Source organism: Homo sapiens, chromosome 9, assembly GCF_000001405.40.
Source record: "Homo sapiens chromosome 9, GRCh38.p14 Primary Assembly".
NCBI lineage: Eukaryota > Metazoa > Chordata > Mammalia > Primates > Hominidae > Homo > Homo sapiens.
In genome coordinates this window covers 87711567-87734249 of record NC_000009.12, presented here as the reverse complement: position 1 = coordinate 87734249, position 22683 = coordinate 87711567, and the positions used below count along the sequence as shown (strand labels likewise).

Genomic DNA, 22683 nt, shown 5'->3' with positions numbered 1-22683 from the left:
TTGGACTTCCCTGAGTGTGGGTGATTAGTAATCTGTTGTTCTTCCTGAATATGGAGGAAAAGGAAAGGGATGAAAAAGCCACAGAAATGGCAGTTCTGTTAAGTGCTCAACATGCTGCCCCAGGTTGGGATGAGGGGAGTGTGCATGGTTGTGGGGAGTGGGGCAGCTGAAGGGAGCAAGTGTTCTGGAGTTCTGAGCAGAGTCACTCTGCGTCCTCACTAAAGCAGTCTCATTAGAACACTGTCCCTGGTCTATCCCCTCATTGTCCATCCCTCCTTAAGCGCTTAGCAAACCCCCCTCCCTGTTTCTCTTGCCAGGGAATGGTCAATTGGAGCCAACAGCCACCATCCTCAGAGAGGTTCTGTGTGACTGAGAGGTGCATGGAGCACCCTGGAGTCCAGCTGGGCAGTGCTGCTTCCCCACGCCTGTGCTGTGTGATGGACCCTCTGAGCAGCATCTGCACAGATCTCAGGAACATCAGTCCCCAAATGGGAGACTCGCCTTCATCAAGTTATCTAAGGACCCTCTGTTTCTCCACCTCTTCCTCCTCCTCCTTCTTGTCAATTCTTTAACTTTTTTCTTGAACTGCATACTTTTGGAATCTGTTATCTTGTGAAAATAATGAAGGTCCATTACCTAAAAATTGAAATAATACAGCGCAAAGAGAAACTGCCCTCTCATGCCTTTTCCAAGATATGACAGCTATGAACGCTTGAAATTGGGATCAGATGGCCCCTGCTTATACCTACTCTGACCGTGGAGGGTGGCCTGTCCCTGGTGTGTGCCCTGACTGTCCCTGGGCTCCTTTGAGACCTCCCTAGTGCTGCACTTACCCATGGGTCTGTGCCAGGCTTTGATTTTTCAATGGGAACATGAGCTACAGAGGAAGGGGTCATGAGTATTTGCTTCACTTTTGTGTTGGCAGCACAGCACTGCCTCATAAATGGTGCCCAATGAATACTTGTTGAAAGTGTAAATAAAACAATCTTAAACATGTGAATTATGGAATGTTTAAGCTGTATTACTGGAGAAAAGAGACCAAGTCTCCTGGAAATTATTTTTCTTATTAACTTATTAACAAAGAGATAATCATGAACATTTGTGAAATTCAGGGTTTAAAGCTGTATATATACACCTTCCAAGTTGGCAAACTTAAAACACTGAATTGCACTATATATGTATTTCCCCCAGTATCAATGCTGTGGGAAGCCCAAGCCATGGGGAGGCCCCGGGCAGGTGCTCTGGTCAATAGCCCAAGTTGAACGTCCAGCCAGCACCAGCATCTGCAGCCAGCCATGTGAGTGAGCCTTTGCAGATGTCCAGTTCACTCAAACCTGCAGATGTCTCAAGCACAGATATAGACCTCCACGTGAAAACCACACAGCCAAGTCCAGGCAGAATCATGTGAAAGATGTTCCTTCCCAGCCATTGGGTTTCTGGGTGGTTTGTTTTACAGTAACAGAACCAAAACAGTCTGTTCACTGCACTCCCAGTGGCTCCTTTATCCTGAAAATCTACCTCTTGACCAGCTTCATCTCCCAACACCTGGACCCAGTGACTTTTACTGGGTCTGTAACCACAGGGTCTTTTCTCAGGGTTGCTGATGTGCTAGTCTCTGCTAAGATGCTCACCTCTTCATCTTCCCTTATTGACTAGCTGCTCTAGCCATCTGCTTTAACTTCTTCCTGGAAGCCCTCCCTGCTAACCTCACTCTCCCTAACTGTTCAGCTCCTTGAGGTCAGGGTCTGTCTCTTCCACAGTGGTGATGACCAGCATGTAGTGGGTGTTGTATATAAATTCCAGTTTATCAAATCTAAGCCCCAACCTGCACGAGGGATTTAGCCTGGGAACCTCCCCAAATCTTGCTACCCCTGGTGACTTTTATTACAATACCCAAAGAATTTCACAGATGCCACATTTGCCATTTTAGGTCAAAAAGTTTGAAATTTTAGCAACTACTCGGGAAGGGCACATGAGAGTCCAGCAAGGCATGTGGTCCAATCGAGATGGACTTGGACAGAACCTCCCGGGGGCTTTGTAAGCTGAGACTCCATTGTACACCTGGTTACCCTCCTCTGTGATATGGAGTCTATTCATTGGACATTCTCATCTGTTCTTTATATTTCCTTCAGTTGGAACAAGAGACTTCTGAAAACACACAGGTGATGGAAGTATGGGCTGTTTAGCTAGTGCGATGTGGGAAGTTTTTCTATTTAAAAAAAAATAAATCAGGTATTTTCAGGTAGCTTGCTCTAAATAGGGCAACAGATTGTCATTTCTAGCCTCTCACTTGTCTTTTATTTTCTGAGGCCAGAGCACCACTTCTGAACCCCAGCCTCAAACCCTGAAGTTTATTCCTCATCCCTTGAGGACCCAAAAACAAACAGCCTTGGCAATGCACTAGTTCTTAACCCACCTTGACTGCAAAGTGTCCACAGGGCCTTCACCAGCAGTGGGCGAAGATGCTCCAGAAACAGGCTGAGACCTTTGCCCTGTAACTTGACTGAGATGCAACCACTTTGGGTGAAATAAACACGATCACTAAAGTCCTTTTCTAGTATTAAAATTATATATATGTATGTTCACTTTTCTAAAAAGTGAATATTTTTCTTTATTCAAACAATTTTCCTTTGTCCTCATAGATCATTTTCAAATTTTGCTGCAATCAAGGATTGGTTAAGACATAGCCACTGGGCAGCTGACATGAGATCTGTACATCTGTGACTAGAAGACCCAGAAGGCCACCCACTCTTCCTCCTAGTGAGCCACTGGCACAGCAGTTATGGCTTAGAGCCCAATTATGTTCTTTATTACACAAAAATTCAGTGCATCAAAAATAGAAAGAAGCCCCACCACTACATTTGAAATTAAATTTTATTTAAACAGGTAAAAATTTATACATCCTTTTAAAAACGAAAATGCAAAGTCAGTAAGTGAATCAATAATATAAACCTATTTATAGCAGTAATTAAAATAGAGGTAACATTTACCAGTGTGAAAATATCACAGAATTCAAATCACACTCGGATCTTCAATGATTCGAGTGTGTATCCGACACAGCGGGGGCTGGTAGACTGAAGATGAATTCCTCCCATGCATGCGCCATCCCCAGTCAAGTCCTTCCTCATCACCGTCCACCAGCTCACACAGTGGGGTAGCTGGCTGCTGAGGCAATTCCACAATGGTTTCTCCGGTCTTTGGCCATCTTTACGTAGCCACCCATGCCCCATTCTTCACCCCAGCTGAAAAAAGAGCAGGTTTTCCATTTCAGAGAAAGAATAAAGCCCAAAGGGTTATTAACAGGAACACCCAACTTAAACACTGTGCCAGAGGCCATAGACTTAACAGAAAGAATCAGGACAGGCAATGTTCCTGTTTATCCTTAAAAAATTCTTGACATAACCTGGACATAATTTCCATCCCAGCCTCCAAACTGTGACCTTTCACAGAACTACAGATCAGAGACAGGAAAACAATAGGATGTCTTTGCAGCCAGATATGCCTCAGAATTTAAAAACTGTTCAGATTTAGATACACCTTTATACAATGGAACAAATACTATATTCATACTCCCAAGATATTTGTGACAGTTTCTTACTTTTATAATCAAACATTAATATTATATGTTCAACTTAGACTTCTGGGGATTTCAGAAGTATGCCTAAGGGCATGTGGAACTGTATCCAAACACTGTTTGCAAATAAGTATTCTCTTTTGAATTTCAAATGTAAGTATTTCTGGCAATTTATACCTGTTCTTCACCAGCCAATATTTATTGTTATCTGATTCTGTGCTTTCAAATCCGTAGCCAACCACCAGCACACCATGATCCATGTCTTCACTGCTACAGTCTGGCTCAAAATAAATGCCTGGGATGGTAAAATGAGGGCTGGGGTGAGAAGCTCCAGAGGACACATGACAGTAACCCATCCTGTCACCCACAGGGAATGAGGCATCTCTGAATTCAGTGAAGTGACACACATTCCAGATAGTACTTAACAACAATAAGAAGGCCAGGGATTTAAGCTCTCATTTACAACTAGCAGAAATAGAAATCAGCATAAATCCTTCATTAAAAAAAAGCTTTCCTAGAGGAAAAAAAGACCCCTCTTTGTAAGCTTGTAATTCTACTCTAGGATATCAATCTAAAAAAATAGCACAGAACACTAAAATCCTTGAATCAAAAGGCTCTTTTCGGATTTAATAATAGAAGTAAAAATCTTTGGAAAAATTATAAAAATCCAACAATTGCAGAATATTTTAAGTATATTAAACTACACAGTAAATATAGCTATTTATAAAAAGTTATGAAGTACTTATATTCATGGAGATATACGCAACATAATGTCAAATGGAAACATCAGGTATAAATATTGCATGTACAGAATGAACAACTATGATGCTAAGCACCTAAATATCTACACTGAACTTTACTTGCAAACCAGAGTCTATCATGCTCGTATGTCATGATACTCTTTTTCTGCATCAATTTCTACAAAGAAAAATATGCTTACCTTCTTTATAGAACAGGAAGGACTCATGACCTGCATCAATAGCAACAGAAATGGGCCCCACAGTTGCAACTGCCTTCATCAGGGCCTTCTCCTGCTTAGGGATGTCCACAAAGCCGGTGTCATTAGCAACAGAATACTTGGGATTGTACTTACAGGATTCTTCCTTTCAAAGGTAAAGGGAAAAAAAAGACTTGATTACTGCTGTCCTCCTCCTGGAGAACATGAGTTAGAACCACAACACTCAGCAGTGTGCAGCTTAGTATTTCCAAGTCACCACTGTTATAAATCATCCCAGGAAGTGAAATGCTATTAGTTAATCTGAAACTGAAAATTGACTCCAGTCTCTTCAATGAGACCTCTGGGTTTACTTCCATAAGACATTTTTCACAATAGAGAAATGTGTATATTTAGAATGGCTTGTATATTCTTCACGTTACATAGAAGCAAGAACAGCTATATGTTACCCATCTAATCACAGGATTGTGCAAAGGCTAATAATTTATAATGACAGTACTGACAATTTGCAGATATATATTCTGCCATCTAATATGTGAACTTTTTTTTTTTTTTGGAGACAGGGTCTCATTCTGTCACTCAGACTGGAGAGTGCATTTGCACAACCACCTCCCACACTCAAGCAATCGCCCTACCTCAGCATAGCTGGGACCACAGACGCACACCACCACAGCCGGCTAATTTTCGTTGTATTTTTGATAGAGTCAAGGTTTCACCTTGTTGCCCAGGCTGGTCTCAAACTCCTGAGCTTAAGCCATCTGCCTGGCTCAGCCTCCTAAAGGGCTGGGATTACAGGCGTGAGCCACCCCACCCAGCCCTAATATATGAATTCCGAAAAAGGTATCTGTTATCTCTTAAAGTGTCCACCTTCCAAAAGCTGAGCTGGAATGATGACAAGGAGCTCCACTTACTGTTGCCTCATATGGATAGGATTCCTCAGAGTCCAGGCCTCCATTATCCTGAACATACTGGAAAGCATAATCCATTAGGCCACCATTGCAGCCTTCATTGCCTTGAGGCCCAGAGCAGTCTACCAGATTCTGCTCACTCAGTGAGATAAGCCTCCCAGTTTTCCGGAACATCTGTCCTTCAAGAGCACCAGTAGCACTAAAAGCCCAACAAGAACCACACTGACCCTGAAAAGGGAATTAAAAAAAGCTGTCATCCACAAAAAAAAAATAATAAGACTTTGACAACAGCTCACACATCTGAATACTGTTAAAAAGTGAACTGTACATCACTTTAAAGTCTACCAAAACAAAGATGTCAATCACTTCTTGGCTTTCCTGGGAAGATGGGAGGTCTGAACCTGACACTGTCTCACCTGATTCTTCACAGGAGTCACGTAGCCTTTCTCTCTCCAATCCACAGATCTGGGGGCCTCATAAAACAGAGGTTCCTGGAACACTTTCCCCTTCCTGGGCTTACGGTTTTGAAAGCCATTCATCACCTGCCTGAATTCTTCACTGGTCTTCAAGGAAAAGGAAATAAAATGTTGAAAAGCAAGAGATTACCTTAGTAAAGAACCGAAGAGAGGAAGCACAGAGCTCGGCAGTCCACAGCACACTTACCATGTCTCCAAAGGCGTTCATGGCCATTGTGAAGCTGTGTTTCCCTTCCCTGTATTCCTGATTGTGCAGTTCAATCATCTTCATGTTCTTCTCCCACACTGCTCTCCTCCATCCTTCTTCATTCTAGAGGCAAACATGTAACTGATGCTCTTTACTTCTACCTAAAACCCAACTCATCCTCACCAAGTGAATCTGCAGACAGAGATGGAAGAGAAACCATGGCAAGGGAAGGCTTGACACCTCTGGGGATGCTGTTCTCCAAACTGAGACACAACAAGGATGAATGTCCACATTGTGCTCATAATCCACGCCATTAGGTTATTACATTAGGCTATTGGTAAAAGCTGGCCTCTAGAAGCTACTCTCTGACTAAAACTTCTCAACAGCCAGGACTATTCTTTCTGGGGAAGTTTCACTAACCATGCCGTATAATCTGTTGTGCATCGCCTTCCACTTGGTCCACTGTGCCTCTAAACTGTGATCAAATGTTAGAGTAGCTGAGGCAATTCCCAGGCAAAAGGCAGCAAGGATGAGTGTAGGATTCATGTTTTAAAACCTAGGAAGGGAACAAAAATGAGGATCTGATTAGACCAATCCTAAAAAGCCATCTTACTGCCCCCTGAAAAATTAGGGCCACCATGGTAGAATAAAAATATTTAAATTATTCTCCCAAGCATTTACCCAAGGACTGTGGAAGAGGCCAAGGATGTGCCTGGAGAAAAACAGGGCACGTGGAGGTACTGGATGGACTCACCAAAATGAAAAGCAGCCTGTCCAGAGCTGTAGGAGCTGAAACAGTTTATGCGATGACAATTTAGGTTATGAGAACGGTATGAAACTACCTTGTGTGTGAGAAGCTTAAGGCAACAACTAGGAAACCGGGAAACGGTTGATCCAGGTTTTGTACCAATCGCAAAAAATCCAGGTTTCGTGCCCAGGCAAAACCTCACTAATGATAAGGTGGGATTCCCAAGTAGGGACAAAGAGATCCCCAAGAGTTAGGAGGCCTTCACACATCTTCCTGACTAACAAACACCAAAAGCTGAGATAAGTTTTCCAATCTCTCCTATTTATTTATTTATTTATTTATTTATTTATTTATTTATTTTTTGAGATGGAGTCTTGCTCTGTGGCCCAGGCTGGAGTTCAACGGCGCGATATCGGCTCACAGCAACCTCTGCCTCCCGGGTTCAAGCCATTCTTCCTCAGCCTCTTGAATAGCTGGAACTACAGGCGTGCGCCGCCTCGCCCGTCTAATTTTGTATTTTCAGTAGAGACGGGGTTTCACCATGTTGGCCAGGCTGGTCTCGAACTACTGACCTCAGGTGATCCGCCCACCTCAGCCTCCCAAAGTGCTGGGATTACAGGAGTGAGCCACCGCGCCGCCCCAACCTCTCCTTAAATGAAACCTTTCTGAAATGCTTTCCCAGGAAAAACTGGGAAGGAGAGCACGCACTGCTCCCTCCTTCATTCACTTGGGCCTGTGCTGCCGACACCCCAAACTGCTCCCCTAAATCAGGGACGGGGTCATATGGCCGCACGCGGGAAGCCAGCGCCCTGCAGCCAGCTTCCAGGGCTCCAGGCGTGGCAGGGCCGGGGACATGACGCCTGCGCCACACACTGGCTGTAGCGGTCAGAGGATGTTTGCGGTGACGCCAGCAGGAGTACCGCTGTCTGGCGTGCGGGGACTGAGCTTCCCTGTCTGGCCGGGCCAGGCCCTGAGTCGGCGCGGCGCGGCCTGGCTGCGGTACCTGTGTCCACCCGGCTCGGAGGCTGGCCTGCCCGCTCAACCAGTCACGCGCCTCCGCGGGGTCCTCAACTGCCCTCCCCGGCTTCCCCACCTCAAGGCCAGCAGAGTTCGGGGTAGACGCTCTCGTTGCCAGGGCTGGTGCACACCTACTCGACCGCGTCCTCTCTTCCAGTCCCTGTCCGGCCACAGCTGGGCCTGGCCGGCGGCGCTTTCCTGCTGCGGTCGTAGCTGCGCAGGCGCACTCCACGGATGCCGCTCAAGGTTGCGGAGGTCGCGGTTCTGGCCCAGCTTCGCCTGACTCTGCTTCTAAAACCTCGGGTCTGGGTTCGGCCGGCACCGCCCCGCCGCCTGGCTGCGCTGCGATTGGCTGTGCCGGCAGCTGGGCGGGGACTCTGGGTGCTCTGATCCCTGGCGCGGTTCGTGGCTTGTTTACTGACTGTCCCAGAGCTGGGCGTGCCTGCCTCAGTGGACCTGGAGGAAGCAGAGCTGGTGCCCCGGGGCGGCGCAGAGTAGGGTCGGGCGTCTCCCTGGAGCGCTCGAGTCAACTAAGTACACGACTTACTGCACTGGGCGAGTGGCTCCTGAAAAGACGTTTACCGCAAGCCCTGTGTGGACTGTTTCAGCCTAACCTTGCTATTCCTTAGTCCTGGAATTTTTGGTCCGCAGAGCCGAGAGTCAAGTGTACTCTAGTCCAGTGGCTCCTGTTTAGTCCACAGCAAACGTGGGGCCGGGTGGACGAACGCAGAGCCCGCGGGCAGAAGCCTTATCTCCCACTTAAGGGTGGGTGCAGCTGGGCTTTAGAAGAATCTGGTAAGGAAAGGCATCCCCAAAACACGAGATGCTATCGTCAAGACCAGACCCTAGGAGGGAGGAGACTGGCTGCGTCTCCAGAGAGCGCGGGCGTTTTGTCAAGCATCCTTTCCAGACTCCTCCATTCAGGGATTCTTCCTTCTCCCACGTCTTACCCAAAACCAACAGAAATGAGTTATTTACAGAAACATTTGGTTGACAGGAGAAAAGCAGTTGAGAACATTAGAAGCTGCTTTTATTCGCCCACTCTCTAGGCTATGGATTATATCTTCCTTGGTAACCAAGTCGTTCTCTTGAGATTTAAGAAATTTAATGACATTTAATGTCAGGATTTAAGATACAGAGAATGGAGAAATGTTGTAGATAGAGGAAAAATATGTATCTTAATCTGTATAATGTAGATATTAATTTATGTAATTAAGGATTTAAGGAACAAAACCCACAAACATTCTAAACTTTTGTCATTTCATTTTTTATTACATAAAAACATTCATTGTAGAAAATACCTTTCGGGGAAAAAAATAATTACCTCTGCCTTTACCCCATAACCTTTTCGTATGCATATTTTGACTTTGTTAAAAATGAACAAAGTCCATTGATTTCTATTGAAGATTAAACTGATAACTCTTTTAGAAGCACAATCACCTATAGTTTTTTAAGTGGTAAAATATACCTCACATAGCAAGTACCATTTTAACCAACTTTGAGTTCAGTAGCATTAAGTACCTTCACATTGTGTAACCATTACTACTGTTTATTCCCAGAGCTTGTTTATCTTCCTAAACTGAAACTGTATCCATTGAATAATAGTTCCCCATTCCCCCTCTCCTAGCTCAGGTATCTACCATTATATTTCCTGTCTGCAGGAATTTGTTTACTATTTTGGAGATTATTCCTCTTTTTTTTTTTTTGAGACGGAGTCTGGCTCTGTTGTTCAGGCTGGAGTGCAGTGGCGCAATCGCAGCTCACTGCAATGTCTGCCTCCTGGGTTCAAGTGATTCCTCTGCCTCAGCCTCCAGAGGAGCTGGGACTACAGGCGCGCACCACCACGCCTGGCTAATTTTTGTATTTTTAGTAGAGATGGGGTTTCACCATATTGACCAGACTGGTCTTGAACTCCTGACCTCGTGATTCGCCTGCCTTGGCCTCCCAGAGTGCTGGAATTACAGGTGTGAGCCACCGTGCCCGGCCGATTATTCCTCTTTTTATGCATTGCTTCTCTGGAGAACCAGTCACAATGTGTAGAATACAATCTAACTGTGATATCTGTCCTAGTCTCTTTTCTGTTGCTAATAACAGAATACCTGGAACTGTGTAATTTATGAGAACAACATTTATTTCTTACAGTTTTCGAGGCTGGGAAGTCTGAGGTCCAGGAAGTGTATCTTGTGAGGGCCTTCTTGCTTGTGGGGATTCTTTGCAGAGGCCCAAGGTGGTGTAGGGCATCACAGGGCGAGAGGGCTGAGTGTCCTAGCTCAGGTCTCTTCCTCTTCTTTTAAAGCCATCAGTCCTGCCTGGGCGCAGTGGCCCACACCTGTAATCCCAGCACTTTGGGAGGCCGAGGCAGTCAGATCACTTGAGGTCAGGAGTTTGAGACCAGCTTGGCCAACAGGGTGAAATCCTGTCTCTACTAAAATACAAAAATTAGCCAGGCGTGGTGGTGCACACCTGTAATCCCAGGTACTTGGGAGGCTGAGGCGGGAGAATCACTTGAACCTGGGAGGTGGAGGTTGCAATGAGCCGAGCCGAGATCACGCCACTGCACTCCAACCTGGGTGACAGAGCGAGACTCCATCTCAAAAAAAAAAAAAAAAAAAAAAAAAGCCATCAGTCCCATTCCCAAGATAACCTGTTGGTCTATGAACCCATTATTCCATGAATAGATTAATGTATTCATTAGGGAAGAGCTCATATGTCCTAATCACCTCTTAAAGGCCCCACATTTTAATGCTGCCACATTGGAGATAAGTTCCAACAAGAGTTTTGGAGGGGGCAAACAAGGAAACCATAGCAGTATTTAAATTTATTATTTTATGAAATAAAAACAATATTTCTGTGGTGTTAGGTAACTGGAGTACCTACGTCTGCCTTGGTTCTAACTTTGCAGATTTCAGGATCACAAGAAGTTCATTGGAACAGCTGAATGTTTCTACCGGGGGCTTAGAGCTCACTTGGTCCTTCATGAGTTCCTTACTGGGGAGTGTGAGAGAAACTGCTCAGATGGCCTCCCCTTCCCCAAATTTGAAAGAGAAAGAGAGAGAGTTGTGAGTGAGTGGCTTTGCTCTCCAGCACTTGCTTAGTGAAGAGCCTCAGAATCTGGACTGTGGCCTCCCAGTTCTGAGGAACCCCATTCGCCACCAGGAGGGGTGGCATGTTCACCCCGTTATTCAGGAAGGAATTGGAAAACAAACAATCGAGGGTGTGAGGTCAAGAGCTAGAAAATCGCAAGCCTCTGGCACCTGAGCCAGGGCAGATGCTGGGAGCACCTGCAGGATACTCCCATATTCTGCCACCTTGGTACTTATCAGCCTCTGAGAACTGAAGCCGGACCCTTTCTTTGCTTGAGCAGAAGATCAGACCAAAGAGCTCATTGACTCAAGGAGCATCATGGCAACTGGGCTGTACCCGGAGGGGAAGAATCCAGGGTCTGATCCACAACCAAGGCCTGAAGAAGTGGGGCCTGTACTTGACCTACCCAGGGTGAGTCATGACCCAAGTGCTGGGGCTCTAGCCATGGGTGGTCCTTCCAACCATTTCCAGCTTCCTCCTGCAGAGGGGCTGGTGTTTTTCTTCATTTTCCATAACCTCCTTGGGAGCACAGGCTTTGGTTTCTGCCTTCCCTGGATCAGGTCTCCCACAATGCAGTTGCTCTAACAAAAACTATTAGCAACAACATAGTACCACAGAAGCCAGCTCCTTGCTAGCAGTGATTGCTGATGATATTGTCTTCTAGAGACCATTCTAATGACTAGACAGCCTCGGTGCAGGAGGAGCTGTTGTCGGTCATGAGGAGCATTTCCTTGTCTATGTAGAGGAACTGAAACCGATGTGGCCAGCAAAATTTACCCAAAGCAATCACTGGGATACTCATCACACCCTCATGGCCCATTGTATCACTTTTGTTCCCTATATATGTGGTCCCATTTCCTCAGGACCAGTACTCCCTTATGTGGGGAGCAGGACTGATGCCTTGAGTTACTTATAGTGACTCGTTAGTTGGGGGATTTGCTAGTATTTTCATCAAACTTGAATCTAGTGAAACATTTGATTGAACTGGCTTCCAAATTGAAAATAAACCAACACCACTCAGGAAACCTATTTACAGCGAGAAGTCAGGAGTGGGAATGCATCTTGCACTGTCACCTTGATTAACAATAGCTCTGACCTGTGGGAGGACGGTCCTCTCTCCTGTAACAAACATAGGGTAGTGATGGGCCAGGTCCTGCTGCTCCTACATTCTCATCACTTAGATAAGCACAGGCAGGTGACTGCAAGCCTTCCAGCCTCCACCAGCATCCTCCAGTTCTCCCCTGACCGCTCTCATTCATATTCCGCACTGATTCAGAGGTCCAGTCCTGAGTGGCAAAAAGAAACATGCGTGAGCCTTTCTAGAAATCAATCAATCATTCATGGATTATAGTGAATTCTTCCCTACTAAACACATCTCCAGAAATTCAGGCGTAGTAACTCCCTTCCTGAATGTCTTTCCAAGGCCCTAAGTGACATTGATGTTCCATAGACAATGTCTTACACGGCAAAGTGCTTCTGGGGGTGGGAACCTGCTGACCTTCCCTGGAATCCTGACTGCAGGTTCTGTTTAGAACATGGGGTCTCATTTTGAGAAGCTCTTGGTATTTATCATTCACGGGAAGTTCACAGGTTCCAGAAAACACTGGACAGCATTCAGGGGAAAGAAAAGGGGCAGAGATGGAGACACCTGGTCAGTTTGGCCAGAGCATCCTGGGGGAAATGCACTGAGGGACAGAGGGGCAAATGCACATGGGTGGTGGGGAGAGGAGCAACGCAGATAGCAAAGACACTGTCCAGACAACCTCCCAACTCAGGAGAAGGGACTGAATCCAAGAGGAGAAGAGGAGGGATGAGGCTGGGTGCTGAGGCATGCCCCAAAGTCTTTGAAGTCTGAAAATCAGACACCCGTAGACTTGATTTTGGTGTCCTGATAGAAAAACAAAAACAATGCTAGCCATAATTTTTAAAGGCTTTCATATTTTGGGAAATAAGCTTCTCATTTGAGGCTAGATTTAGTTCCTTCCCTCTGAAACATGTTCAATTCATGATTTCTACTTAATTCAGATTTTCTAGTTTTGTAACAACTTAAGCTGGTTGATCTAGCTTTGCAGGCAGGCAGGCAGGCAGGAAGGAAGGAAGAAAGGAGGGAAAAGAAGGAAGGAAGGAAGGAAAGAAACAGTAAAAGAAAAAAAAGGAAAGAAGGAAGGAAGAAGACTACAAAAGTCTCAACATGAAGTGTTTCTGCAAGTAAACAAGGAATTCCTGCTTTTGTACCAAGGACTCCATAGTTGTCTGGACTCCTTAGGGGCCACAAGGCCACTGGCCGTGATGTTTCAGTGAACTGTGAAACAAAGCACTGACCCGCTGCTGTTCCACCATGATGCCTCCAATCTCTGGGCCTCGAGGGAAGATAGTATTCGTTCATTCTGAAAATACTTATTTAGGATGTACCACTTGTCTGGTGAGTGGTGAGCATGATGGCTGACAGGCAGACACAGGCAATAATCAAGTACACAAGTAAAGAGTAATTAAGTCCGCTTATTTTGGAATTAAATAATTTGGAGTTCAAGTCATAGTTCAGTTTTTGACAACCATGTCACTTTGGGTGAGACACTTAAATGTATAGAGCCTGCACTTCCTCACTTGTAAAGGGGAATTAAAAATGTGGGTATTGAGAAGATTGAAGCAGATAGGTTAGGTAGTGCTTAGAAGGCAGTTCCAAGCACACAGCTACTATTCTTCTTACAAATGTTTTGGAAGGTTAGAGTGCCCCTGAATCATTGAAACACTCTTATGAGAGCCATACCTTAACACATATTACTGAAGATGTTAGATAGAATTGTCGAAAAACACAGAAAAGTAATGAAGAATGTGACAAGCCCTTGAGACCTGGGGAAGGCCAGTCAACTGAAGTCTTAGGACAGAGCAGAGAGAGATGGATTAGGGATATAGGGCCATAAGCATGATCTGGAGCTATGCCAACCCACTATCTCTGGTGAGCTCTTTTCCATGGTTTGATGTAGGGTGAAGGAGCTCCTGGGCCCTTGGAGTTTCTCAGCCAAAACAGCTCCCATCATCATTGCTTTCTCCCCTGTTGTTTTTTGGTTGTTGAGCCCAAAAGTGTGTGATGCCTCGAAAGAGGTTAAAGGTGGGCATCACCTCTCCCTAAAATGCAAGCTTAACCGGCAGTGGCCCATCTGGAAGGCTTGTGTTTTTCTCCTTCTTCTCTTGCATATTCTCAGAAACATAATAAGCACATCAAAAAATGACTTTTCTTGATTTCTAGCCAGAAAAATCAGGACTTCCTTGACTTTTAGTGGACTGACCATTGTGTTGTCCTGGAAAGCCAGATGTGGAGCAGACAGGAATGAACATTTGCCTTCAAACTTCAGTGTCCTGGCCTGTTCGTAATTTGATGAAAAAGGCATTGATTTATTTAAAAAATGTAGAATATGTGAATGTTTAATTACCAGATAGAGCAAGTAACCCACCATCTCTCTGGCTTATAAACAATAATGGCCCACATCCCCTCCACCTTGTTCCTAGAGCACTAAGCCTGTCATTGAGGTGGCTTGGTTTGGAAATTTCCCTTTGAAATTTCTAATGAATAACTTGCTGGTGGCCGTTTTCAAGGATTCTCAGAGGACCTTAGCCTTTTATCCTTCCAGCAGTTTCATCTGTTATTTTTCAATAATTTTTTAGGTGAAAAACAAATAAAACAAGTGATCATTATGAAAAACATAGATAATACAGATAAGCAAGACAAATGGGGGGAAAATACCCAAAGACTCACCTAAAATCCCACTGTCCTTGTTGGCCTCCTGAAACCAGTGGTCAACTGGGAACACACTGCTGACTTACGTGCCAAGCACCACATTCGCCTTGTTGTGTATTATGGCATTTGATTATCAGAATAACCCTCATCCCCATTTTACAGATGAGTACAGTGAGGTTAGAGAGGTTACGGAGCTTGCCCAAGGGCACAGGGCTAGTCAGTGAGGAAGCCAGGATTTGGTCTCAGGAGGTGGAACTCCAACAAATGGGGATGCAGTGCTGCAGGGGTGTATGGGACCCTGGTACTGAGGGCTGACAGTCATTAGGAGAATTGCAGGAGGACCACAGGGGACAGTTTACGCTAAACCTGACCTTCTCCACAGTTCACAGGAGCAGCAACCAAGACATCACACCCTCCCAAGAGTCCCAGCCGAGAGGTCATTTCCCAGCATACAGTTCCCAACTCTCACCTCCTGCTTCCATTCAAAACTTCCTCAAAAGCACTTCCTGTTTTCTGTGACTCTCCATTGAGTTTTGGAGAAATCTTATCTTGTCCCTGGGGTTCTGACGCAGGTCACAGAGCAGGTGGAGGGTGGGATGGAGGGGAGAATACTCACAGTCTGACCTCAGTCTCATGCCTGCAGACCTGTGGTGTATATAACACAAGGGGGGTGATACTTTATTGTGCAAATATGATTTTTTTTCCTTTTTTGTGTTCCCTTTTCAAGGACATCACCCCTATACAGACAGGGATATTGTTTTCTCACAGATAATCAGAATTTTAACAATAGGAATGTAAAGAGAAAAAAGAATCAGTGTTCAGAATTAGACTTTCCCGATAGATTTCTGAGTTCACAATGATCCAAAAGCCAAGGCTGAAGAGAGAGGAAAAGATTTTCTCAATTCCTGGAGCCAGTCTGAAAACCTCTCTTATGAACCTAGAGGTCAGTGTCATCAAGGAATTAATTGTCCATAGCTTGGTGGAGTTGGAGAAAGAGGAGAGAAGAGTCACCTCCCAAACTTGGGGAGCAACAGGGGTTTTCTGCAAGAGGCTGAGGGCTGTAGCCTCCTTGCACTCATACCTGGGATGGCTGAGCTTAGAGCATGTGGGCTCTGGAATATTCCCACACTCAGGCTTGCATGGAGGGTGAGAAGGCAGGTCAGACAGGTTGGGATGACCAAAGGCAGCAAACGCAGACTGCTCAGAAGACCCCGAGACACTTGCACAACCATGGGAGGAGGGGTGGCTCCCTGGACAATGAAAGAGACTAGATTTAGGGGAGTGCGATCCAAGCCAAATTTATTTCAAGAAGATTAAAGGAATATGATAGTTCTGGAAAGCATACTGGAGTAATGAAGCCCAATAGCCGGGGTACTGCATGGGTGAAACAGAAAGGGGCTAATTAGTTCCCAGAAAATGGGAGGAAATGGTCAAGTGTTGATGAAGCCTGAAGTTTACAACCTCTCCTTAGGCCTATACTATAATTCCCATGGCCACATTCTCATGTTCAGTTTTATTCAGGCACTAACAAGGACAAAGGTTGACAAACATAGAAAAGGAATGCTAGAATCTCTTTAATGGTGTGGACATTCTCTTCATCAGCCTCATGAACTCAGATTTGGGATGATGCTTCCTGGCTGGTGCTGTTCTTCCCCACACCTTGTCTTCCTCCTAGCTGACTTCTCTGCATCACTTGCATGGCGGAGTGTTCAGGGAACTTGAGGGATCTACACACTCTATGTACAGACCTCATCCAGGCTGTGCCAAATAGTATTTTAGAATGGTCAAGGTTTAGTGCCCAGGATCACCCATCCAGAGGCTTTGCAAGGGTTGGACAGACATGGCCCTGAGAGAGCCCATGGCTTGATGAGCTGAGTGCAGGCTGAAGTTCAGGCCCCACAGGCCCTCCCTCTAGCAACTCTGAGCAATCTACATAGTCTGCATGAGCAGACAGATAATCTGCTGCTGCATACAGGACAAACAGAGCTCACCCCTGCTCACTAAGGCTCACCTCCTAGGATGCCTCCTAGGCAGGCAGAAGTTAAGGCTGGCTTGCCACACTCACATTCTAGGACCAGGGACCTGCACCTGCCCTTGCTACGCTGACCAGTCTCCCAGGCTGTCACCACTGCCCTTGGAAGAGCTCACACTGCTGATATTCCAATCTCCTTTCTTGCTCTTGCCAAGAGGTGGCAAGAGGGTCTCCTTATTCACCTGCCCACTGAAAACCAAAATTTTTTTTTTATTATAGTAAAATAGACGTAACATAAACTTGACCATTTTCACTATTTTTGAGAGCGGCATGAAGTTCATCGCATTGTTGTGCCACCATCACCGCCATCCATCTCCAGAACTTTCTCTTCATCCCAAACTGAAACTCCTAACCCATTCAACAGTAAATCCTCATATCCTTTTCTCCTAGCCCCTTAATTTAAAATGGATAAGGATAGTATTTTTGAAATAATAATGTTTATTTCCTGTTGACTTTCTTATTGACAATCTGCCCTTGATACAGGCAGAGGTATCCATTGTCTTGGGAATAGTTAAGATTGTGAAAGGGGAAATGGAATGAAAAAGAGCCAAATGTTTGGGGTTTAGCTTCTATTAATAAAACAAAATTTTTGAGACCCTGGCTTTCAGCAAAAAGCCAGTCTTTATAAACAGAGGCAAATGTCCTTCCAAATTCCAACAGGCTCCTGGGAAGCTGGGTGGGCACTCAGGATGGCCTCGCTCCAGGTCACCTTGCCTTGCGCCACTGTCTTTAGGAGTGAAAACAATCCATAAGCAGCATCATAGCTGTGCCAACAAATAGTGGGGCGGGTATCGTGGAGGAGGATTCAAGGCGTCTTTATAGCCTGGAAGACAGAACAAGGGATGAGAAATACAGGTGGTAAGTGTCAGCTCACGTAGGAATTAAAATCTGCTTTTCCAATCCTCCATCTCTGGGACCATTTGAGCGGAGACCGACTGACCCTCATATTTCATGGCGGGTGATGCTCTGGCTGAACTTCGAGACATCCCATTTCCTCCTGACTGTTGGATCCTATGCCCCTATGTTAAGAGCAACCAGAAATACTGTGCTTCCTAAAGTGTGGCCCTCCCGCAGGGACCTTGGGTAAGTTTCAGTGTTCAGGGGATGGAATAAACATTGTCATGAAATATGTCATGAGACGGGGCCTGAGGGCTTTTCCTGAACTTCTATGCATAGCAAAGAGCAAAGGCTCCTGAGCAAACAAAACACAGCAATAAACCTTTAGAGTCATGTTGCCCATGGTGAACTTTTCACAATTCCAGGGAAATGGAGAAAAATGAAGAGCACTGGGTAATTTTTTTCCCCTAAGATTAAGTTATTCCATTGAAAGGAATGTTAATTATTCTAGGACTGTAACCTTCCCACTTTCTCTCTCTCTTTTGTTTCCTTCCTTCCTTGCCTTCCTTGCTGCTTTTTTTTTTTTTTTTTTTTTTTTTTTTTGCTCTGTCTTGCTCTGTTGCCCAGGCTGGAGTGCAGTGGCACAATCTCGGCTCACTCCAGCCTCTGCCTCCCGGGTTCAAGTGATTCTCGTGCCTCAGCCTCCCCGGTAGCTGGGATTACAGGAGCGTGCCACCATGCCTGGCTAATATTTGTATTTTTAGTAGAGACAAGGTTTCGCCATGTTGGCCAGGCTGGTCTTGAACTCCTGGCCTCAAGTGATCTACCCGCCTCGACCTCCCAAAGTAATGGGATTACAGGCGTGAGCCACCGTGCCCCGCCCTTCCTTGCTGCTTTAATTTTTTTCATTTGGAATTTTTTTCTCTATTTATTAATTTCTTTCTTTCCTTCTCTTTCTTTTGGGGCACTATGATTGGTGACAGCATTGGATAGTTATTGTAGTTTCTGTGTTCTTTGCAAAACAAAGTGTCAGAGTGTCAGTCCTCCATGTTCTTTATAAAAGTTTGCTATTTCATAACATTCCCAAAGTGTGGGAACCACTGGCAATAGCAAGGCGTCTCAAGGTTTAAGAGTCAGTTAAAAAAAAAAAAAAAAAAAAAAAAAGGCGGCCAGGCACGGTGGCTCATGCCTGTAATCCCAGCACTTTGGGAGGCCAAAGTGGGCGGATCATGAGGTCAAGAGATCGAGACCATCCTGGCCAACATGGTAAAACCCCGTCTCTACTAAAAATACAAAAATTAGCCAGGTGTGGTGGTGCGTGCCTGTAGTCCCTGCTACTCAGGAGCCTGAGGCAGGAGAATCACTTGAACCTGGGAGGCAGAGGTTGCAGTAAGCCGAGATCGCACCACTGCACACCAGCCTGGCGACAGAGTGACAGAGCAAGACTCCATTTCACAAAAAAAAAAAAAAAAAAGCTACTCTTTATTGAAAATAGCTTTAAGGGGCAGAGAGAAGTTATAAGATTCCTTTTTATTTCTCATTTTCAAATAAAAAATGAAAATAGTAATTCCAAAATGACAAGAGAGAATCTATTCAAGCGTTTAGTGTACTTTTGCCTGGCTTATGGAGGGATAAGATAAAAATGTCACTGGGTGAAAACAATGAGATAAATTCACAGCTGGGAACATTGCACAATATCACCAGTGTTGCATGTTTGCTCAGTAGCTGGCTGTTCTCCATGTCAGCAGGATGTATGTGGCTTGTTTTGACTCCAGGTCCTCCAGGAGTATGTGTCCAACCACCAAGGTGGGCAGCAGAGTTTGGAGGCCAAATCCTTTGGTACCTGGAGCGGGATAGCAATGGAACCACACAGAGAATGGCCCAGAGCACTGGGAAGGGTGCCTTCTCAGCAAAAGGCACCTGCACAGAAATTCAGCCCATAAAGCCAGGCAGAGAAGGACATGAATGACAATTGGATAATGAGTGTTGGCATTAAAAAGCATTTAAAATAAGTCACTAGACAATTAAACTTGCAATGTCAGAAAATCTTACAGCTTATGTATAATCAAATGAAACTAAACTTGATAGAGTGTTCACCAGATTTGACAGTAATCTTTAAAATTTATGACATTGCCTGTAATGGGTTTTGAAGCTCAAAGTTTTCTAAACTGGTAATAAATGTAATTATTGAGTAATTAATCTCTTGTGATGGTGGAAAGAATGAATTTTTTCCGTTCTTGCTAAAAGAGTAAGATTATAAAAGCTGTTATATGTAGCAAAAAATTTGGTAAAAATTATTATAAAGTGTGTTAGCCATTGATTAATAAAATAATGTTTTTCTGGAAGAAAAGAAAACCAGATAGAGTGCAACATAAATGCAAAGTTTTGCTCAGCAATTAATGTTTTCTCTTTTTGGATTTTAATTGTTATGTGCCGACAGCCCAAAAAGCCACATATATCATGTCCAGTCCGAAATACAGAAAAAAATGTGCATAAAGATGTTTAGCCCAGCTTTGTTTTCAACAGGGAATAACGCCTGAGTGTTTCACAGTAGGGAATTGGGATATGACAATATTATTATAGCATTTTGCAGCCGTTAAAAGGAATGTTTCTGAAAAGCTTCTAATAACATTGTAAAAAAGCTGTGTCATAATCTTCCGTTTAAAAAAAGCAGGGTATAAAATTGAACACTTCATATGATTTCAGCTACATTAAAACATGTCTAGAAAATACAACCAAAGGGAATAAAAACTTTCATTGCCTCAAATTACCCCAAAGGGAAAGGGCAGCCCATGGCCAGGAAGGGCCAGCCTCAGAAGGACTGAAGTTGCTGACTTGTGCCTACGGCGGCAGCAGCTGCTGGTTTCTCCTTCCATGTTAATCTGGGTCACAGAATCTCGTGATTTACAGAAGCAGCTCTGGCTCATTCTTGGGTGACTGGCCTGCCTTCTTGGAAGACAGGATGATGCTCATCAACGCTGGCTGTGACGCAACCTGAGGACTCTGCAAACCTCCCGTGGGGTCACACACTGGGGCAGAAGCCCCAGCATCTGAGTGTCCGCTTTGAGGATGGAGCGAGTGGGATGGGTGAGGCAGAGAGGAAGAAACTTCTCCGGATGTCCTGGTTAGTCACCCTGATTGTGGGAAATGCACACTCATGGCTGAATCAGCAAGAATCAAGTCTCTTGGTCAGAAAAAAAAGCCATTATGGCCTAAGAATCTCTCATGACACACACACACACGACACACCACACACACACCACACCCCCCCCACACACACACCACACACACACCACACACCAAACACACACACCACACACCAAACACATACACACCACAAACACCACACACCAAAAACACACACACCGCACATACACACATCACACACACCACACACACCAGATACACACATGCACACACCACACACACCAAACACAACACACACCACACATATACACATACATATGCCACACATATGCGCACACCCCACACACACACCACACACGCACACACCACACACAACCATACCACATGCACACCACACACGCACACACCCTACACACCTCACACACACACCACACACACATCACATAAACACACACCACACACACCCCCACACACACCACATGCACACACACCACACACACAAAGCACACACACATGCACACACATCACACACACACATATATGCACATACCAAAGACACAGACTTACCCCCATATATACATGTGTATACACATGCGCAATACACATATACACATGTGCATATGCACACTAACTCTGCTACACATATGCACATGACACACGCACATACATTAATATACATGTACACAAATGCACACATTTATGCACAAAATACAGATGCATACACCTGCATATCCGTGTACTCTCATGACACACACATGCACACACACATACAGACTGCAGTGTAATATACTTAGTAGAATAGGATGAGGGGCCCTCAGTTGGGGTCAGATGGCCTGATGCTTAGTCTGAATTGTTAATAATTGAACTGTGTAATTTTGCCTGAATCTTTTCATCTCTGCTTCCAGCTGCCAGAGTGCGGTTGACTCAAACCATCTGGAAGTTCTCTTTAGTTGTAAAATTCTGTGATTTCAATGGAAAAGATGGTATCATTCATCCAGAGCTCACCTGAGCTCCTTCTCTCTACCCTGAGGAGAATCCTGGGGGCTGGAGTCACAGCATAGGGTGCTTGGGAGGCCGTCCTCACCCAGCACCAGCCCCAAGAGTGTTGCCACCAGGGATAGCCCAGCGTCCCCGAGGACCTCTGCTGTGGGCATTCCTGTGGCTTCTTCCCCCTCACACCCACACACTTCTTCCCTCCTTTCTGATAAAGAATCAAGAATTTGCCGTGGGAGCAAATAGGCAGGAACCAGCAAGCTTCTGAGGCCCAGCGCTTCCAGGAAGAGATCAGCAGCTGTCTGTCCTGAAGGTATTTCCAGGGTTCCTTTCTGCTCAGCGGAGGTGGAAGGGAGCTCACTGCTCCTTAACTCTCCCTGTCAGAGGTGCCCCTGGTCCACCCTCTCTGGCCATGGCATTCATTTAGGGCAGACAAGCGGTTCCTGTCCTGAGTCAACATCTGGAAGCCACCAGGCCCTGGGCTGGGAGGATTTGGAGCCTGTCATCAGCATGTGACTTTTGGTTGTGATGCTACAGTCTGACCTCACCCTCAGGTTGCCACCCAAAGCCCAGCTATGCTCCAGATCGCTGAAGATTGCCCTTGAGAGCAAATTCCTCAGGCAGCTGTGGAGCTGAGCCCTGAGGACTCAGTGAGCCAGGGCTGGGCCCTCACCCTCACACTATTCCTCATAAACAGTTCAGTTTAAGTTCTCAGGAATGCATAGTCCTGCAAAGACTGTGGCGCTGGGTCTCAAATACGAATTCAAACTAAAAACAAAACCCTCTGCCAATCAAAAGAGGAAAGAAGCCAAACAGAACTCTCACTTCTTCCCCCTCTGAGGACCACTTTAAAGTTTTTTTTTTTTTGAAATAACAAATATTAAATTCTTTAAAAAGCAATCAATCCCTTTTCCTGTTCCCCTTTTCTGGGGGGCTCCGCTTGGCTGAGCTGCTCTAAATACAGTAGGTAGTCTTGTACATTACTCTGC

General features: G+C 45.2%; 1 protein-coding gene across 10 annotated transcripts, besides 45 other annotated features; it reads right to left on the bottom strand.

Annotated features, from left to right (window-relative positions):
- Positions 1643 to 3142: a silencer, noted in NCBI's record as "1500 bp 3' fragment used in the pGL3-P1/U/I-(-1/-1646) and pGL3-P4/U/I-(-1/-3263) reporter constructs". NCBI's record gives its function as "represses activity of the CTSL promoter in transfected A375SM melanoma cells {active_cell/tissue: A375SM}" and the evidence as "EXISTENCE:reporter gene assay evidence [ECO:0000049][PMID:18366346]".
- CTSL (cathepsin L) lies at positions 2781 to 8131 on the bottom strand. Of its 10 annotated transcripts, NM_001382757.1 has the most exons (9): positions 7852 to 8131; positions 6782 to 6889; positions 6521 to 6656; positions 6101 to 6223; positions 5854 to 6000; positions 5441 to 5665; positions 4515 to 4677; positions 3752 to 3869; positions 2781 to 3242 (listed from the first exon to the last, which is right to left on the bottom strand). In NM_001382757.1, exons 3-9 carry the CDS (start codon positions 6644 to 6646, stop codon positions 3143 to 3145), a joined length of 1002 nt encoding a protein of 333 aa, NP_001369686.1. In that variant the 5' UTR covers positions 6647 to 6656; positions 6782 to 6889; positions 7852 to 8131; the 3' UTR covers positions 2781 to 3142. The 10 variants fall into 10 exon arrangements, with proteins under 10 accessions (NP_001369686.1, NP_001903.1, NP_001244900.1 ...); NM_001912.5 differs by lacking the exon at positions 6782 to 6889; NM_001257971.2 differs by lacking the exon at positions 6782 to 6889 and having other exon boundaries at positions 7942 to 8131.
- Positions 6646 to 8288: a promoter, noted in NCBI's record as "-1/-1646 fragment used in the pGL3-PCL-(-1/-1646) and pGL3-P1/U/I-(-1/-1646) reporter constructs". NCBI's record gives its function as "drives CTSL expression in transfected DM-4, DX-3, SB-2 and A375SM melanoma cells and Raji B lymphoma cells {active_cell/tissue: DM-4 | DX-3 | SB-2 | A375SM | Raji}" and the evidence as "EXISTENCE:reporter gene assay evidence [ECO:0000049][PMID:11742542, PMID:16261157, PMID:18366346]".
- Positions 6646 to 9925: a biological region, named in NCBI's record as "CTSL promoter region". NCBI's record gives its function as "regulatory_interactions: CTSL | LOC116186942 | LOC117693187".
- Positions 6814 to 7234: a promoter, noted in NCBI's record as "-588/-168 intron 1 fragment used in the -588 bp hCATL B promoter construct". NCBI's record gives its function as "drives CTSL expression with moderate activity in transformed HepG2 heptocarcinoma and U87MG glioblastoma cells, and with low activity in untransformed Chang liver cells {active_cell/tissue: HepG2 | U87MG | Chang liver}" and the evidence as "EXISTENCE:reporter gene assay evidence [ECO:0000049][PMID:14636995]".
- Positions 6814 to 7853: a promoter, noted in NCBI's record as "-1205 /-168 intron 1 fragment used in the -1205 bp hCATL B promoter construct". NCBI's record gives its function as "drives CTSL expression with modest activity in transfected HepG2 heptocarcinoma cells {active_cell/tissue: HepG2}" and the evidence as "EXISTENCE:reporter gene assay evidence [ECO:0000049][PMID:14636995]".
- Positions 7235 to 7468: a transcriptional cis regulatory region, noted in NCBI's record as "-822 to -588 hCATL B promoter region present in the -822 bp construct but absent in the -588 bp construct". NCBI's record gives its function as "negatively regulates the hCATL B CTSL promoter in transfected HepG2 heptocarcinoma cells {active_cell/tissue: HepG2}" and the evidence as "EXISTENCE:reporter gene assay evidence [ECO:0000049][PMID:14636995]".
- Positions 7469 to 7614: a transcriptional cis regulatory region, noted in NCBI's record as "-968 to -822 hCATL B promoter region present in the -968 bp construct but absent in the -822 bp construct". NCBI's record gives its function as "negatively regulates the hCATL B CTSL promoter in transfected HepG2 heptocarcinoma cells {active_cell/tissue: HepG2}" and the evidence as "EXISTENCE:reporter gene assay evidence [ECO:0000049][PMID:14636995]".
- Positions 7819 to 8340: an enhancer, noted in NCBI's record as "H3K27ac-H3K4me1 hESC enhancer chr9:90340825-90341346 (GRCh37/hg19 assembly coordinates)". NCBI's record gives its function as "activates a minimal SCP1, AML or CMV promoter by ChIP-STARR-seq in naive H9 embryonic stem cells {active_cell/tissue: H9 hESC(naive)}" and the evidence as "EXISTENCE:reporter gene assay evidence [ECO:0000049][PMID:30033119]".
- Positions 8058 to 8268: a promoter, noted in NCBI's record as "-133/+75 fragment used in the pRB5 reporter construct". NCBI's record gives its function as "drives VEGF-responsive CTSL expression in transfected U87MG glioblastoma cells {active_cell/tissue: U87MG}" and the evidence as "EXISTENCE:reporter gene assay evidence [ECO:0000049][PMID:11574156, PMID:17574778]".
- Positions 8058 to 8500: a promoter, noted in NCBI's record as "-370 or -1855/-1410 fragment used in the pRB6 or hCATL A reporter constructs". NCBI's record gives its function as "drives CTSL expression in transfected U87MG glioblastoma cells (maximally active) and HepG2 heptocarcinoma cells {active_cell/tissue: U87MG | HepG2}" and the evidence as "EXISTENCE:reporter gene assay evidence [ECO:0000049][PMID:11574156, PMID:14636995, PMID:21687683]".
- Positions 8058 to 8925: a promoter, noted in NCBI's record as "-783/+36 fragment used in the pGL3-783/+36 reporter construct". NCBI's record gives its function as "drives PPARgamma-induced CTSL expression with maximal activity in GW929-treated human monocyte-derived macrophages {active_cell/tissue: HMDM(+GW929)}" and the evidence as "EXISTENCE:reporter gene assay evidence [ECO:0000049][PMID:21700710]".
- Positions 8058 to 9389: a promoter, noted in NCBI's record as "-1250/+36 fragment used in the pGL3-1250/+36 reporter construct". NCBI's record gives its function as "drives PPARgamma-induced CTSL expression with low-moderate activity in GW929-treated human monocyte-derived macrophages {active_cell/tissue: HMDM(+GW929)}" and the evidence as "EXISTENCE:reporter gene assay evidence [ECO:0000049][PMID:21700710]".
- Positions 8058 to 9603: a promoter, noted in NCBI's record as "-1470/+75 fragment used in the pRB9 reporter construct". NCBI's record gives its function as "drives CTSL expression in transfected U87MG and U373MG glioblastoma cells {active_cell/tissue: U87MG | U373MG}" and the evidence as "EXISTENCE:reporter gene assay evidence [ECO:0000049][PMID:11574156, PMID:20536385]".
- Positions 8058 to 9925: a promoter, noted in NCBI's record as "1.9 kb -1825/+75 or -1875 fragment used in the pRB1.75 reporter construct". NCBI's record gives its function as "drives CTSL expression in transfected U87MG glioblastoma and HepG2 heptocarcinoma cells {active_cell/tissue: U87MG | HepG2}" and the evidence as "EXISTENCE:reporter gene assay evidence [ECO:0000049][PMID:11574156, PMID:17574778, PMID:20536385, PMID:21687683]".
- Positions 8086 to 9707: a promoter, noted in NCBI's record as "-1600 to +10 fragment used in the human CTSL promoter construct". NCBI's record gives its function as "drives FOXO1-mediated CTSL expression in transfected HEK293 embryonic kidney cells {active_cell/tissue: HEK293}" and the evidence as "EXISTENCE:reporter gene assay evidence [ECO:0000049][PMID:20088826]".
- Positions 8107 to 8288: a promoter, noted in NCBI's record as "-1465/-1646 fragment used in the pGL3-PCL-(-1465/-1646) and pGL3-P1-(-1465/-1646) reporter constructs". NCBI's record gives its function as "drives CTSL expression in transfected DM-4 and A375SM melanoma cells {active_cell/tissue: DM-4 | A375SM}" and the evidence as "EXISTENCE:reporter gene assay evidence [ECO:0000049][PMID:11742542, PMID:16261157, PMID:18366346]".
- Positions 8159 to 9591: a promoter, noted in NCBI's record as "1.4 kb fragment used in the CTSL promoter constructs". NCBI's record gives its function as "drives CTSL expression in transfected PC12 rat chromaffin cells {active_cell/tissue: PC12}" and the evidence as "EXISTENCE:reporter gene assay evidence [ECO:0000049][PMID:22871890]".
- Positions 8178 to 8208: a protein binding site, noted in NCBI's record as "-1536/-1566 GC box probe". NCBI's record gives its function as "binds Sp1 (complex 1) in DM-4, A375SM, DX-3 and SB-2 melanoma cells {active_cell/tissue: DM-4 | A375SM | DX-3 | SB-2}" and the evidence as "EXISTENCE:protein binding evidence [ECO:0000024][PMID:11742542, PMID:16261157]".
- Positions 8178 to 8208: a protein binding site, noted in NCBI's record as "-1536/-1566 GC box probe". NCBI's record gives its function as "binds Sp3 (complexes 2 and 3) in DM-4, A375SM, DX-3 and SB-2 melanoma cells {active_cell/tissue: DM-4 | A375SM | DX-3 | SB-2}" and the evidence as "EXISTENCE:protein binding evidence [ECO:0000024][PMID:11742542, PMID:16261157]".
- Positions 8178 to 8208: a protein binding site, noted in NCBI's record as "-1536/-1566 GC box probe". NCBI's record gives its function as "binds Sp2 (complex 1) in DM-4, A375SM, DX-3 and SB-2 melanoma cells {active_cell/tissue: DM-4 | A375SM | DX-3 | SB-2}" and the evidence as "EXISTENCE:protein binding evidence [ECO:0000024][PMID:11742542, PMID:16261157]".
- Positions 8190 to 8191: a transcriptional cis regulatory region, noted in NCBI's record as "GC.2 box bases altered in the mutant reporter constructs". NCBI's record gives its function as "positively regulates the CTSL promoter in transfected DM-4 and A375SM melanoma cells {active_cell/tissue: DM-4 | A375SM}" and the evidence as "EXISTENCE:site-directed mutagenesis evidence [ECO:0005528][PMID:11742542, PMID:18366346]".
- Positions 8198 to 8228: a protein binding site, noted in NCBI's record as "-1556/-1586 CCAAT motif probe". NCBI's record gives its function as "binds NF-Y in DM-4, A375SM, DX-3 and SB-2 melanoma cells {active_cell/tissue: DM-4 | A375SM | DX-3 | SB-2}" and the evidence as "EXISTENCE:protein binding evidence [ECO:0000024][PMID:11742542, PMID:16261157]".
- Positions 8214 to 8217: a transcriptional cis regulatory region, noted in NCBI's record as "range of CCAAT motif bases altered in the mutant reporter constructs". NCBI's record gives its function as "positively regulates the CTSL promoter in transfected DM-4 and A375SM melanoma cells {active_cell/tissue: DM-4 | A375SM}" and the evidence as "EXISTENCE:site-directed mutagenesis evidence [ECO:0005528][PMID:11742542, PMID:18366346]".
- Positions 8218 to 8248: a protein binding site, noted in NCBI's record as "-1576/-1606 GC box probe". NCBI's record gives its function as "binds Sp3 (complexes 2 and 3) in DM-4 melanoma cells {active_cell/tissue: DM-4}" and the evidence as "EXISTENCE:protein binding evidence [ECO:0000024][PMID:11742542]".
- Positions 8218 to 8248: a protein binding site, noted in NCBI's record as "-1576/-1606 GC box probe". NCBI's record gives its function as "binds Sp1 (complex 1) in DM-4 melanoma cells {active_cell/tissue: DM-4}" and the evidence as "EXISTENCE:protein binding evidence [ECO:0000024][PMID:11742542]".
- Positions 8218 to 8264: a transcriptional cis regulatory region, noted in NCBI's record as "47 bp VEGF response element (VRE) present in the -133 pRB5 construct but absent in the -86 pRB14 construct". NCBI's record gives its function as "postively regulates and confers VEGF responsiveness on the CTSL promoter in transfected U87MG melanoma cells {active_cell/tissue: U87MG}" and the evidence as "EXISTENCE:reporter gene assay evidence [ECO:0000049][PMID:17574778]".
- Positions 8228 to 8231: a transcriptional cis regulatory region, noted in NCBI's record as "range of AP-4 element bases mutated in the pAP-4M construct". NCBI's record gives its function as "postively regulates VEGF-responsiveness of the -133 CTSL promoter in transfected U87MG melanoma cells {active_cell/tissue: U87MG}" and the evidence as "EXISTENCE:site-directed mutagenesis evidence [ECO:0005528][PMID:17574778]".
- Positions 8233 to 8235: a transcriptional cis regulatory region, noted in NCBI's record as "GC.1 box or SP-1 bases altered in the mutant reporter constructs". NCBI's record gives its function as "positively regulates and confers VEGF responsiveness on the CTSL promoter in transfected DM-4 and A375SM melanoma cells and U87MG glioblastoma cells {active_cell/tissue: DM-4 | A375SM | U87MG}" and the evidence as "EXISTENCE:site-directed mutagenesis evidence [ECO:0005528][PMID:11742542, PMID:17574778, PMID:18366346]".
- Positions 8266 to 8293: a protein binding site, noted in NCBI's record as "DBE2 probe that binds FOXO1". NCBI's record gives the evidence for it as "EXISTENCE:protein binding evidence [ECO:0000024][PMID:20088826]".
- Positions 8279 to 8281: a transcriptional cis regulatory region, noted in NCBI's record as "bases mutated in the DBE2 mutant reporter construct". NCBI's record gives its function as "important for FOXO1-mediated CTSL expression in transfected HEK293 embryonic kidney cells {active_cell/tissue: HEK293}" and the evidence as "EXISTENCE:site-directed mutagenesis evidence [ECO:0005528][PMID:20088826]".
- Position 8302: a transcriptional cis regulatory region, noted in NCBI's record as "hypertension-associated C-171A rs3118869 polymorphism where the minor A allele promoter has reduced activity". NCBI's record gives its function as "major C allele important for activity of the 1.4 kb CTSL promoter in transfected PC12 rat chromaffin cells {active_cell/tissue: PC12}" and the evidence as "EXISTENCE:site-directed mutagenesis evidence [ECO:0005528][PMID:22871890]".
- Positions 8303 to 8306: a transcriptional cis regulatory region, noted in NCBI's record as "range of p53 binding site P1 bases mutated in the pRBp53mut-1 construct". NCBI's record gives its function as "important for activity of the -1875 CTSL promoter in transfected U87MG glioblastoma cells {active_cell/tissue: U87MG}" and the evidence as "EXISTENCE:site-directed mutagenesis evidence [ECO:0005528][PMID:20536385]".
- Positions 8501 to 8651: a transcriptional cis regulatory region, noted in NCBI's record as "-520 to -370 fragment present in the pRB4.75 construct but absent in the pRB6 construct". NCBI's record gives its function as "negatively regulates the -370 CTSL promoter in transfected U87MG glioblastoma cells {active_cell/tissue: U87MG}" and the evidence as "EXISTENCE:reporter gene assay evidence [ECO:0000049][PMID:11574156]".
- Positions 8714 to 8733: a protein binding site, noted in NCBI's record as "PPRE-like probe". NCBI's record gives its function as "binds PPARgamma in GW929-treated human monocyte-derived macrophages {active_cell/tissue: HMDM(+GW929)}" and the evidence as "EXISTENCE:protein binding evidence [ECO:0000024][PMID:21700710]".
- Positions 8723 to 8730: a transcriptional cis regulatory region, noted in NCBI's record as "range of PPRE-like bases altered in the mutated reporter construct". NCBI's record gives its function as "necessary for PPARgamma-induced CTSL -783 or -1250 promoter activity in GW929-treated human monocyte-derived macrophages {active_cell/tissue: HMDM(+GW929)}" and the evidence as "EXISTENCE:site-directed mutagenesis evidence [ECO:0005528][PMID:21700710]".
- Positions 8728 to 8915: a transcriptional cis regulatory region, noted in NCBI's record as "-2273 to -2085 region present in the pGL3-PCL-(-1/-2273) construct but absent in the pGL3-PCL-(-1/-2085) construct". NCBI's record gives its function as "negatively regulates the -1/-2273 CTSL promoter in transfected DM-4 melanoma cells {active_cell/tissue: DM-4}" and the evidence as "EXISTENCE:reporter gene assay evidence [ECO:0000049][PMID:11742542]".
- Positions 9067 to 9080: a protein binding site, noted in NCBI's record as "C/EBP.2 probe". NCBI's record gives its function as "binds C/EBPalpha in HepG2 heptocarcinoma cells {active_cell/tissue: HepG2}" and the evidence as "EXISTENCE:protein binding evidence [ECO:0000024][PMID:21687683]".
- Positions 9072 to 9074: a transcriptional cis regulatory region, noted in NCBI's record as "-1044/-1058 C/EBPalpha site 2 bases altered in the C/EBPalpha mutant reporter constructs". NCBI's record gives its function as "important for activity of the CTSL -1530 or -1470 promoter in transfected U87MG and U373MG glioblastoma cells and HepG2 heptocarcinoma cells {active_cell/tissue: U87MG | U373MG | HepG2}" and the evidence as "EXISTENCE:site-directed mutagenesis evidence [ECO:0005528][PMID:20536385, PMID:21687683]".
- Positions 9134 to 9147: a protein binding site, noted in NCBI's record as "C/EBP.1 probe". NCBI's record gives its function as "binds C/EBPalpha in HepG2 heptocarcinoma cells {active_cell/tissue: HepG2}" and the evidence as "EXISTENCE:protein binding evidence [ECO:0000024][PMID:21687683]".
- Positions 9140 to 9142: a transcriptional cis regulatory region, noted in NCBI's record as "-1112/-1126 C/EBPalpha site 1 bases altered in the C/EBPalpha mutant reporter constructs". NCBI's record gives its function as "important for activity of the CTSL -1530 or -1470 promoter in transfected U87MG and U373MG glioblastoma cells and HepG2 heptocarcinoma cells {active_cell/tissue: U87MG | U373MG | HepG2}" and the evidence as "EXISTENCE:site-directed mutagenesis evidence [ECO:0005528][PMID:20536385, PMID:21687683]".
- Positions 9521 to 9550: a protein binding site, noted in NCBI's record as "DBE1 probe that binds FOXO1". NCBI's record gives the evidence for it as "EXISTENCE:protein binding evidence [ECO:0000024][PMID:20088826]".
- Positions 9534 to 9536: a transcriptional cis regulatory region, noted in NCBI's record as "bases mutated in the DBE1 mutant reporter construct". NCBI's record gives its function as "important for FOXO1-mediated CTSL expression in transfected HEK293 embryonic kidney cells {active_cell/tissue: HEK293}" and the evidence as "EXISTENCE:site-directed mutagenesis evidence [ECO:0005528][PMID:20088826]".
- Positions 9604 to 9925: a transcriptional cis regulatory region, noted in NCBI's record as "-1875 to -1470 fragment present in the pRB1.75 construct but absent in the pRB9 construct". NCBI's record gives its function as "positively regulates the -1825 CTSL promoter in transfected U87MG glioblastoma cells {active_cell/tissue: U87MG}" and the evidence as "EXISTENCE:reporter gene assay evidence [ECO:0000049][PMID:11574156]".
- Positions 11755 to 11804: an enhancer, noted in NCBI's record as "active region_28523". NCBI's record gives its function as "activates an Ori minimal core promoter by ATAC-STARR-seq in GM12878 lymphoblastoid cells {active_cell/tissue: GM12878}" and the evidence as "EXISTENCE:reporter gene assay evidence [ECO:0000049][PMID:35858748]".
- Positions 19664 to 20863: an enhancer, noted in NCBI's record as "P300/CBP strongly-dependent group 1 enhancer chr9:90328302-90329501 (GRCh37/hg19 assembly coordinates)". NCBI's record gives its function as "activates an origin of replication core promoter dependent on BRD2, BRD4, P300/CBP, MED14 and CDK7 cofactors, with strong dependence on P300/CBP, by STARR-seq in HCT116 cells {active_cell/tissue: HCT116}" and the evidence as "EXISTENCE:reporter gene assay evidence [ECO:0000049][PMID:35650434]".

Excerpts from the sequence above, each read along its gene's own strand:
- CTSL (NM_001382757.1), bottom strand. The coding sequence starts at position 6,646 with ATGAATCCTACACTCATCCTTGCTGCCTTTTGCCTGGGAATTGCCTCA. Across the intron at positions 6,224-6,520 it reads ACAACAGATTATACGGCATG|AATGAAGAAGGATGGAGGAG; the intron begins GTTAGTGAAACT and ends GTTTGCCTCTAG. Across the intron at positions 3,870-4,514 it reads CTTCCTGTTCTATAAAGAAG|GCATTTATTTTGAGCCAGAC; the intron begins GTAAGCATATTT and ends TTACCATCCCAG.